Source organism: Homo sapiens, chromosome 5, assembly GCF_000001405.40.
Source record: "Homo sapiens chromosome 5, GRCh38.p14 Primary Assembly".
NCBI classification, from domain to species: Eukaryota; Metazoa; Chordata; class Mammalia; order Primates; family Hominidae; genus Homo; species Homo sapiens.
Window position 1 is genome coordinate 61,717,651 of NC_000005.10, and position 12,352 is coordinate 61,730,002.

The window sequence follows — 12,352 nt, forward strand, 5'->3', positions numbered from 1 at the left end:
TTATGTTGTCTCCAGACCCAGCTACCATGTGTCTAGAACCACATTGGATACCGTGAGTGAGAACCAACCAACTCAACTAAGTTAGCTTACCATATCATAAGAGAAAATAATACATTGTTTTGAGCCCTAAGTTTTGGGGTAATTTGTTACAGAGCAGTAGATAAACAGAATAGCTTATAAAGCCATTAACAAAAGCCAGCCAAGTCCCGATTCCTGTAATTATCACTGTGCCACACTGCTTAATTGGCATAGGTGCCACCTTCCACCTGCTTCTCCTTCCAGTACTCTCCGGTGCAATGCTTCTTTGTGCCATCCCACTTATGACCAGAAATGGGCTCCTTCTTCCTGTCATACTGGTGAATGGTCCATCTTGAGCATTTGACCCTGAGCATCTGATTTCTAGAACCACTTCTAATGCCCACTAGCCATCTGATACCAACTGTCTTAGCCTGGATTTCTCAAGAAAATGAAGCCCGAGAGAAGGCTTTACATGCCAAGGCCAAGGTTTTTAGTTTTATTTTTTCCTGGAGTTGAAGCTCATCAAACTCTATATTTATAATAGGTGCATTTTTTATATGTAAATTATACCTTAATAAAACTGATCTTAAAATAACTGTTTTAGAGTCAAGACTTCCCTGAGTGCAAATCCCAACTTTGTCACTTATTAGTTGTGTGATCTTGGGTAAGCCATTTAACTTCTACAAGCTACTTCTCTGTGATATGGATAATAATAGTACTTATCATATATGGTGCTTGTTAAAAATGGAGACAGTAAATAAATATAAAGTGCTTAGCCCAGGTCTGGAGCACAGTTAGCACTCAATTAACGTTATCTGTTATTATGACCATTACTGCTATTAATAGTACTTTAATATGTAATCAAAGTGAATTAACAGTAATGTATACAGCTTTCATTCTATCATGTGACTGTGATCAGACTCAAGAGAGCTGTTTATTGTCTTCATCAAGTCTGAAATTGAAGAGTCCTTCCTGGACTGGAGGAGATGGAAAACTGAAATGTCACTTTCTTATGTGGCTCTTGATACTAATTAATAGCAGCATGAATGCGTAGAGAGAGCACAGATTTGGAAACAGATAACCGCAGGTCCCAATCTCTGACCCTTATTGACTGTGTGATCTTAAGCAAGTTGCTTAACCTTTCAGAATCTTTGTTCTTTTAAATGAAATAGGAGAATAGAGTACCTAACTGATAGGATTGTTGTGAGGGCTTAATGAGAGAATGTATGTATGGTAGCCATTTTCCAAAGAAAGCAGCTATTCTCCAATAATGGCTCCCCAGTAAGCTTTACCTCCTGGTATTCACACCCAAGACACAAATATGCTGCCACATACCCACACGGAGAAGTCATTCCCAAAATTTTAAGTAACCCATAACACATTTTAGCCCAGGAGGAAGTAATCTCCTCCTACATTGAAATGATACTGCCTTTTGTAGCTAGGTCTTAAGAAGCATTGAAGTTCTCTGCCTTGGTTTCCAGGAACTTGGTAAAGAATCCCAAAGTAAGCAATTGAAGAGGGCATGTGGAGACACAGCGAGGACAGCCAGACCCAAACTGTTCAACCTACCCCAGCTCAGATATCACATACATGAGTGAAGGATTTGCTCTAGAAGAAACCACATGGAGAAGAATGGAGGGCCCAGACAGTGGCCTTTTGTTTTGTGTGGGGAATACCCATCCTCAGCTATTTGAGCCACCCCAGCTGAAGCCACAGACTTTGTGGGACAGAGAAAAACAGTCCCTACTTGTGCCCTGACTAAATTTCAGACTTCCAGAGTCACAAGCATAATACAATAATTGTTGTTTTACACCCCCATATTTTGGGGTGGTTTGTTACACACCAATAGATACCTGGGATAGTATGTTTTTGAAGCTCTTGGCACATAATAAATTAGTTCCCAGCACAGAGTATAGCATTTTAAGAATTCCCTTCTAAGTAAGCAGCCAAAGTGTTTCTTTGTATAGAATTTAGAGGTTGCCATGTTTTGTACCAACTGTCTAGGCTTAGACCAGGGATTGTGTCTGACCCTCAGAAGGTTGGCCTGCATCCTAGGAGATGGCCTGGTTAGGAGCTCTGGGAGAAAGTTATGGGCCAGAGGCTGGGAAGCAATGCAAACTCTAAGAAGGAGAAGCCATGAGGAGGAAGAGGAGATGACAAGATCACCTTCCAGTTCTCCGTGAACTGGGGAGTCTGGGTGTGATGGGCGTTGTAATTTGAATGATGTTCTAGTATTCTGTCTTTCTTCCCTGTGAACATCAACAGTACCCATTAACTGGAGCATCCTGAATAAATGGTTCTTGCATCTGCATCCCCCATCTGTGTATTTTCCATTTTTTGCTGAAGTTATTATTAAAGTTCACTTTAAGCATTACCTTTAAAATTATCTTTAAAGGAGGTTACTCCTAGGCTAAAATGTATCATCAGTTACTTAAACTTTTGGGAATGGCTTCTCTGTGTTGGTATCTGGCAGCATATTTGCTCTTTCTTGCAATAACTTCAGTGTTCTGTGGTCTGATCAGCTGCATCTGTATCCTACATTGCTCTGTGTTGATACTCCAATGATTAAAACAAGATTTGAAAATCAGTTGCTTTTGTTGAGAAGAGTACCTTCAGATTAGGTCTAAGCTAAAACGGCTCCCATAGGGCGGAAGCTTAGGTACACCCTGAGACTTCCTGAGTTATAATCTTTAAATATCCTCTGCAGCAGTCTTAAGTTTCACTGTTTGATCTTTTCCCAATATTTTAGTTACACTTTGAAATGGCAGCAAGTCTAATGTAATAAAAGAACAAAAGTATTTTCAAAATGTTTCTAAGAGTGATGCCTTAGGACAAAAAATAAGATGAGTTGAGCAGGGATGAGAGTTTTATCTGGCACATAGGGAAAGACTGGTCAACATGGATTAGCTGGGAGAGACTCGGCTTTACATCAGTGAAAAAGACTTGAAGGTGTTGGTTGACCACAAACTTAATATACACTCAAAGTGTGGCACTTTTTCCAAAGGATTTAATCAAGTTCGTACTAAATTCATTTTAAACAATGCCCAGGTGAAGGAAGGTCATTGTTATAACTAGACACTGCACTGATCTGACTACATTGAGTAAGTATGTCAGTGCATTCAGCAGTTATTCAGGGAGCCATGACAAGCCAGATATCCAGGACACTGAAATGTCTTCAAATGAAGACTTAGATCAGGGATATTTCATTTCTTCTACACATATAGCTATTCTTTCAACAAAAATTTACTGATCATCCCTATGTGCCAGAACGGTGCTAGGGAAACAAATATGTAGAGCCAGTTTCTGTTTCAAGGTACTCACAGTCCAGTAGGACTGACATGCAAGTAAGTAGACAATTACCATTCAATAATGGAATTCAACATCCTAATTTGCATACACACAGATAGCCTAGGAACTAGAAGAGGGAGTACCCAGCTCTTCTTTTAGGAAGACATTTTTTCTAGAGGTAATGCTTATAGTGGCATTTAAATGATTTTAAAAGTTAATGATTTATTATGTGCATATAATGAATAAAGGCAATATAGAAATAGGGAAGAGTCTAGGCAAAAGCTCAGAGTAATGAGAGAGTGGAGCATATTTAGTAAAGAGCAAATGGTTTTATAAGGCTGGGGTATAGGAGGCAAAGGGGAAAGGGGAGAATGATGAGGCTAGGAAGATAAAGGCAAGCTCATGAAAGGAACTTTATGGGCTCCAAGGAAATTTGAATTTTATCCTGTAAGAAATGGGAATTCACTAAAGGAGCACTTTGGTAGAAGTATGGAGGTTTGATAAGCCTAAGGACAAGGAGACCAGGTTGGACGCTGTTGCAATAGTACACATGAGAAATAATGAGAGTCTGAAGCAGTAGTCATAGGGAAAGAGGGATAGAATGAATGGCCAGGACAAAGAAAAAACTCAGTGATGTGCTCATTAGCCCTTCCAGGCCACAATCTCTAACATTTTATACAGCCCACTGATACTTCATCTCTCCCTTCCATTGGCTCTTCTCACCATCAACACACCCTAGATTTTACTAGTGTATCTTGTTTATTGTTCATCTTCCCCTCTAGAGTGTAAGTAAACTCCATGAGAGGCAGGGATTTCTGTATGTTTGGTTCACTGCTATATCACCAGTACATGACACATAAGTACAAAAGTATGCTTTCATTGATAGAGGAGGTAGACTCATCTTGTATTATTCCAAAGGATAAAATTCACCTAACAAGATATTTAATAATACAAAGCTGAATGTTTTTCCTTTAAGATCAGGAACAAGACAAGGAAACCACTTCTATTCAACATTGTAATAGAGTTCTAGCCAGTGCAATAAAACAAGAAAAATAAATAAAAGTATTCAAAGTTGAAAGGAAAAAGTAAATGGTCTTTATCTGCAAATTATCTATGTAGAAAATCCTATGGAATATATAATACAGTGATTAGAACTAATAAATGAGCTTGGCAATGTTGCAGATAGAAGATCAATCTAAATACTCAATTGTATTTCTGTGTACCAACAACAAAGTATTGGAGATTAAAATTTAAAACATAGTACTCTTTACAATGACTTCAGAAATGTGAAATACTTAGGAACAAATTTGACAAGATTACAAAATGTTGCTGAGATAAAATTTAAAGAGCTAAATAAATGGAGGGATATACTGTGTTTATGGGCTGAAAAACTAAATACTATTTCGATGTCAATTGTCCTCCAAAGTGGGTTTCTTATAGGCAGCATATCTATTTATTCACTCTGCCAATATCTGTCTATTCATTTTGGTATTTAGATCATTTAATGTGATTTATTGATATGGTTAGATTTAAATCTATCTTCTTGTTATTTGTTTTCCATTTTCTCCATCTATTATTTGTTCTCTATTTCCTCTGCCTTCTTTTAGATTGCATGTTTTTTATGATTTCATTTTATCTCTTTTGTTGTCTTCTTAGCTAAAGCTCTTTGTTTTGCTATACAGCACTTTACACATAGCTTAAAAACCTTATAACAAACTACATCCATTATCCTCACATTATGTACACAGGAACAACAACAACAACAAAAACCAAAATGGCAGCAGATCCATAATCCTTCCCGGTTTTGTGCTATTTTTGTCATAGATTTTTCTTTATATATATTATAAACGTTATCATTTTTGTTTAAATAGTCAATTACCTTTTGGAGATAATAATAATAAAGCTTACAAATTTGCCTATGCTATGACCATTTCCATGCTCTTCATTTCTTCATGTAGTTCAGATTTCCAATTTGTGTCATCTTCCTTCTGACTAAAGGACTTTCTTTAACATATTTTGTAGAATAGATCTACTGGTGACAAATTCTTTCTTCTTTTGTATGTCTGAAAATTCTTTATTTTGCCTTCATTTTTGAAAGACCTATTCACTGGTATAGACTTCAACATTAACAGTTTTTTCATGTTTAAAGGTGTTGCTCCACCTTTAAACAATGCTCTCACTTGCATTGTTTCTGATGAGGAACTTCTCCTGTTTTTTTTTTTTTCTCTATACATAATGTGTCTTTTTTCTATGACTGCTTTTAAGATTTTCTCTTCACATTGGTTTTGATTTTGAACAATTTGTTTCCATTGTTCCTTGATTACCTTTCTTTCTTTCCTTTCCTTTTTTTTTTTTTTTTTTTTTTTTTTTTGCTTTTGTTGCTCATTGCCCAGGCTGGAGTACAATGGCACGATCTTGACTCACCTCCACCTCTACCTCCTGGCTTCAAGCGATTCTCCTGTCTCAGCCCCCCAGATAGCTGGGATTACAGGCATGCACCACCATGCCTGGCTAATTTTGTATTTTTAGTAGAGACGGGGTTTCTCCATGTTGGTCAGTTTGGTCTCGAACTCCTGAGCTCAGGTGATCCACCTGCCTCAGCCTCCCAAAGTGCTGGGATTACAGGCGTGAGCCACTGCGCCCAGCTGATTACCTTTTCTTTATGGTTCCTGTGCTTGGGCTCTTGTTCTCTTTCCATTCCCCCACCTACTCTCCTTCTAGACACAAATTACACTATTGATCCACTTGAATTTGTTCCATGAGCCAGTGAGCCTCTGTTCTTTTGTTTTTATTCTTTTTCCTCTCTGTGGTTTGAGAATAGTGTCTACTGCTATGTCTTAAAGTTTCTTAAAATTTTTTCTGCAGTGTTCAATCTACCACTGATTTCATCAGTGAAAATTATATCTTAGAAATTGTAGTTTTCATTCCTAGACGTTCAATGTAAATATCTTCTAAGTTCAATTAAAATATCTTCTATGTCTGTTCTTCACTAGTTGATCACATGTAATACAGTTATAAGAATTGTCTGAATGTCCTTGTCTGTTGATTCTAACATCTGTGTCAGCTCTGGGTTGGTTTTGATTGGTTGCTATTTCTCCTTATTATTGGTCGTATTTTCCTACCTTCTTGCATACCTGGTAATTTTTTTTACTGAGTACCATACTTTGTGAATTTTACTTTGTTGGGTACTGGCTACTGTTGTATTCCTACAAATATTCTTGAGCTTTGTTCAGCAATGCAGTTAATTTGCCTATAAACAGTTTACTACTTTTGGGTCTTCTTTTTAAGATTTGTTAGGTGAAACCGAGAGCTGCTTTCAGTCTACTGTGAATTATTTTTCATTACTGAGAAAACAGCCTTCTGACTAGTATATCCAATGCCCCACAAATTATGAGGTTTCTCAGTCTGGCTGGTAGAAACAGGCATGGTCCTGTTCCCTCTAATTTGTGGAGGTAGGACTTTCCTCGCTGGAAAGTTTCCTCACATGCATTTGTTGATCAGTACTCTGCAGAATATTCAAGAGGGAGCCTTGGTAGATCACTGGCATTCTTTCTCTGTACAGCTCTCTCCTCTTCAGTACTCTATCCCAAAAACTCTGGCTGTCTTGGTCTCCAGGAATCTCATTTCCATCTTTTCTCAGGGAGTTCACTGGACTCCTGTGTCTGGATTCCCTGCAAGAGGGCTGGAAAGTTCTCCCACGGCAGTAAGTTTTTTGGAAAGCTTATTTTGTAGAGGCAATTGTTTGTTTCCTATCACTTGAGAATCACTGTTTTTTTGTTTCCTGACATCCAGTGTCTTGAAAAGTGTTGCTCATTATTTTGGTTGTTCCAGGAAGGAAGGCAAGACTGGTCCCTATTATTCCATGTTAGCCACCAGCGGAAGTATCTCTACCTTTAAGAAATCCAACACTACAGCCGACCTTTCATTTGTAGAACATGTCTTAGGTATCCTGCCATGTGCAAAGATTTTGTGTGCAGAAACCAAGCTGAATTTATCTTAGTAACTCCAGATAACTGACACAGGCCTTTGCAAATCGGTGGTAAATTGAATTGCTATAGGACAAGCAGGTGAAATTTTCACAAAGGGATATTTTTTGCCTTATGCGAGAAAGAAATATCTGATAGTTTAGTAATGAAAACTTTGAAAAGACATAGTGATCTTTCCATTATGAGAAGCATTCAAGCAGAGTGCAGATACTATTTGCCAGGAATCAGCATTTCTGCATTGTCTAGAGAAAGCCTCAGTTTGGTGCCGATTTTTCCTTAATGTCTCTCAATCTTATTCTTTGCCAAATGTGAGCTATTATAAAAAGAATTAGTAAGTCCTCTCTAGATTAATTATTACTTAATTATGAATGACTCTGTCTAGATTAATTATAAAAAGAATATTCCCCTCAAAACTTTTCTACAACTATAGTCCCTACATCAGGTAATCTCAGGTAACAAGGAAGCCTAGACACTGTTATCCCCAGTTGGCTGATTGGGAAACAGAAATGCATGGTGGTTTAGAGGACTTGTTTTAAGTCACACAGTCAACTACAGAACGAAGCCAAGAACACGGTCAGGTCCCTAGATGCATGACAACATCCTTTCCCTTTGGCTATGCTGCCTCATGATACTATAGGAGGTTTAAAAAGTTCAATTATTCTTTTTTTTCCTTTTAACATGGGTTTTAGAAAGGAGGCAGGAACAAACATAGTGGAGCAAGTGTAGAATGCAGATAACATGGCATGCGTTTCTACCATGGAAAGTAGGACTGAAATTGGAGTTGTTCTGTAGCAGAGGTTAAACAATAAGAAAATGGAGTAGGGATCCCCAAGGCCCTGCTGATCTGAAGAATCCAGGTAAGCATTGAATTAAATCAGATAAGCAAAGGTTCAGGTGAGCCAGACAGTTTTCAAAGTAAATAAAACACATCCAGTAATACAACCTTATTTCAGATAACAGAGTTTCTGCATAAAGGAGTTTCAGATAATCAGGGCTTTACAGTATAAACAAACAAGAAGAACACTGGACATGAGAGGAACTAATTGAGGAGATTCAAGTAATGAGGAAGCCTAGTATCTATAACTGCATTCTGTGTGGCTTCAAATTATTAAATTTCAAAAATTCAGCCAGGATGGTCAACAGGATAGAAAATGTAGGGTAATTAAATCATCTAGCCCACATCATTAAGTAACAAAATGTGTTGTGATTTATGAATGTGGAGGAAGGCAGGACAGAATAAAAGCTACAAAGGATGAGGCTGAAGCATCATGTATGTTACGGAGAAGCAAAAGGCAGGAGGAAAAAAGAGGCAAAAGGCTGAAGGCTCTATCAGGGGGTAAAAATTAGATTTCAGGCTTCGTTACACTCCCATGGCACAATGGAAATAGCAAGGGGAGCTAAAGGACTTAACCAGGCACAGTGGCTCATACCTGTAATCCCAGCACTTTAGGAGGCACAGGTGGAAGGATCGCTTGAGCCCAGGAGTTTGAGGTTACAGTGAGTCATGACTGTACCACTGCACTCTAGCCTGGATGGCAGAATGAGACCCTGTCTCAAAAAAAAAAAAAAAAAAAAAAAAAAATTAAAAACAACAACAAAAAGGAATTAAAGGGTGAAACAAGTGTGGATTATTGACTGGGAATATTCAGACTTGCTTGAGAACAATGGGCTATATAAACCACCACCTCCTCCTTTTTCCTCCTCCTCCTCCTTGTCCCCACCACTCTCTCTTCTATCTCCAAGATCCTAAGCCTTCTCACCCACAAGCTGTGAACCGCAGGGTTTGAGACCCAGTAGAATAGAGACAGGGCTCTGGAAGTGGGGAGCAAAGGGGATAAAAGGATCCAAAGGCCATGGAGAAGAAGGAGAAGTAGAGGTGGTCCATCCAAGAAGAGAAAGGGGTGAGTTTTTAGCCAAACCAGAAAGGGGAAGGTAGTGGTTGGGGCAGAGGCTCTATTTCTGACTTCTGTAATACGGTTATTTCTCCCATGGGTTGAAGGCAGCAGGAACTATGAGATAATTTTTATGAGAAAAGTATTCCCTTTTTTATTGCCTTTCCATATTCTGAATAAGTCTAGAGAGAGCCTCAGTTTGGTGCCAATTTTCCTTTAACACCTCTCAACATTTCCTCATCTCCTCCACCCTCTTTCCTTAACAAAGAGGGAACAGACCTCAATTTAAGAGCCCTGGTCGGCAAAACTGTGGTTAGCTGGAATTCAATTACAATGCTTTGTTTTGTATTTATTTCTATTGATGGTGAATAATCTGGTTTGAAATGTATAGTAGCTATAGTCTTCTTTAAAATAAAATTTGAAAAAAGAATTTATTACATTGGAATTTAAGCTGAGTGATTTGAAACTAATTATCAAACTAAAATTCTTCATTGACCTAAATGTCAAGAAAATGACAGGATGATATGGTGGACATAAACATTAGTCTGGGAATCAAGGATCTTCCATGAGCTGTGAGTGTGATTTTTGGTCACAGTGATTTCATTTTCACTTTTATTAATGAAAGACATACAGCTGCTAGCCAGAACTTAGCATGAGACGGCCAAAGTTTGAACATATTAAGTTACTAAAGTTCTAGTCAAAGGCAAAGAAATGATGTTTTAGTGAGTCTGTGCCAATTTAATACACATATAAACTCACAAATATTGAAAGGTCTCATGAAGACCCCCATCCTACAGGGGCTTTGGGATGCCAACATTTGGACTGGATTATTTCTACGAGACCTTCCAGTTCTACAATGCTGTGCCAAATATTCAGTCTGGTGCCAGCAAAAGCAATGATGTGATAGGGAAGAATAATGATAGATATTGTATTAAAATCTAATTTTCCTTATCTCTACTTTACCTATCAAATAGGTAGCCGGGAATGAATTTACTTGAAACAGATCAGATGCCAAGCATAACCATTTCCCTTGTCATCTAAATTCTTCTCTCCTAAGAAAGATTTTTTTCATCAAAAGTTTTACTACACTTTTTTTTGAAGGTCAAAGGAATTGAGGCCTTAAATAGATAAGATGGGCAAGGGGAACAAGCTGGTTGGCTTTTGTCGGCCCACCTTTGGTCTTGAAGGGAGGGACTGCCCCTCTCTCCACTATGGAGCTTCTCCTAGTTGACCTGCCCAAAGAATTGTCTATCTGTGGAATCTCCCTGAGAGCATAATTTCTGTGCCTTCTAGGGAAAACAACAGGGGTTAGGAGAGGAGCTGGTGAGACTGACAGCCTGGGTTCAAATTTCAACTCCTGGAGGGAGCCTCCATTTTATTTAAATTTTCACATTTATCTAGCACAATGACTGAGTGAGGTTGGTTCAATTTCAGGGCAGTTGCTGCTCTTTTTCAAACTTTTGTGTGAATTAGAAAACACACACCTCCTTCCCCAAACCAAAGCATACACATACTCTGTACCCATGAAGCACAAATAGACACCCTGTCCTCAGGGCTGATGCCCCCTCAAGCAGAGCAGGGAGAGGATTCAGCACCATCTGCCTCTGCACTTGGTGCTTTTATGAAGGGCTTCACCTACCAACCCTATGCAGTGACCCTGACAGTCATCACTATTTCCTAACCAGGGAAGGTTAAATATTTGTGTTTCAAATAGATCATCCGGGCTATTTTGTACAAAATAGATTGGGAGAGGATGAGGCTGGTTTCAGCAAGTTGTTAAAAGCCTATGGCAGCTGTCCAGTTGGGAAATGATGGGCATTCAGGTGAAATGGGTGGCAGCAGGGATGGTGAGAAATGAATACATTCCAGGGATGTTAAGGAGACAGGGTTGACATGTCTGAGGCTGCTGTGAGGATCCAAGAGATGATGATGTTGACAGTGCTGATATTAACAATACTATTGACTGAGGGTTTGTGTGTACCAGTTATTTATATAAGTTATTTGAACCAAAGAAAAAAAAATTGACCACATCTCATGCCTGCATAGTTGCTGTAAGGATCAGAGATCACATAAAGTGCCCAGCCCATAGCAGATCCTTCATCATTGGTAAAAACTGGCCTTTGAAACTCCTGTGTTAGTTAAGAAGCCCTAGTTTGTGGACATGGGTGGATGTTGTCGGCAGTGGAACATAATCAAGACAGAGGCTCCATCACCTTCTGAGCATCAGGTTAGATTCCTCCTGTAACTTTTCAAAGCTGCAGATATTCAACCCCACCTCCATTCAGTTAGTCCAAGATAGGGGTCTTGGTATCAGTGTTTTAAAAGCTCCCCAGATAGCCAGTGTTGAGAAGCACTGAAGTTAAAAGAAGTCTTTGGAATCAGACAAATCAGGGTGACATCCCAGCCCTGCCCTTCACAGTAGTTTTCCTTGACTAAGCCTCAGATTTCCTATTTGAAGAAGGAGGATCAAAATTCCCCCCACTCCAGGTTGTGGGAGGATTAAATGAGGTGTTATGTGCACTCCATAGGACCTCTGGGACATCTCTTTTTATACCTAGCTTAGTGTGGTGTCTGGCCCCTAATGTGGGTTCAATAGACGTTGACTGCCATGACTGTGGGGTCGAGAAGCAAAGGAACTTAGTGAGGGCCGGCTCCAGGGGTGAGAACACTACACCTGTCTCCTGGTTTATAATCCTGGCCCAAAATGTGCTTGTTTCTTTCACAGATGTGGAAACCCAGGTCCAGTCAGGGAGTAAATAATCTCCCCAAGGACACAAAGTGAGAGAGCTGGAATTTGAATCCTAGTCTGTGTCCTTCTGCCATACACCAGGAATCAAATTCAGGCCATAGCTAACTATTCTAGAGAAAGACTTGTTACAGAAGTGATGCTACTGGGGAGAAGAGCCCTTGTCTCTTCTGCTTTGAACTGCTGGGCTGAGCCACAGAGTGAAGGGCAGGGGAACAGCTAGCCGCTGGCCAGGACAGCCCAGAGCCACTCAGACAAGAGCTCAGTGGTGAGGGCTGGGCAAGGAGGGAAGTGTAGGGAGGAGAGGGGGAAAAGGATCAGAGAGCTGCTGATTTCGGGGTGAGCAGAGAATCACATATTTCATGTCTGGTCAGATTAAGAATGCAATGGTATATGCCTGCCAATACAATGACTGGTAGACA

At 39.4% G+C, this 12,352-nt stretch overlaps 1 long non-coding RNA gene across 2 annotated transcripts in view; it reads left to right on the forward strand.

The window, feature by feature from the left end:
• LINC03122 (long intergenic non-protein coding RNA 3122) overlaps positions 1-12,352 on the forward strand; it is a 93,238-nt gene that overhangs the window by 79,891 nt on the left and 995 nt on the right. The window lies entirely within an intron of this gene.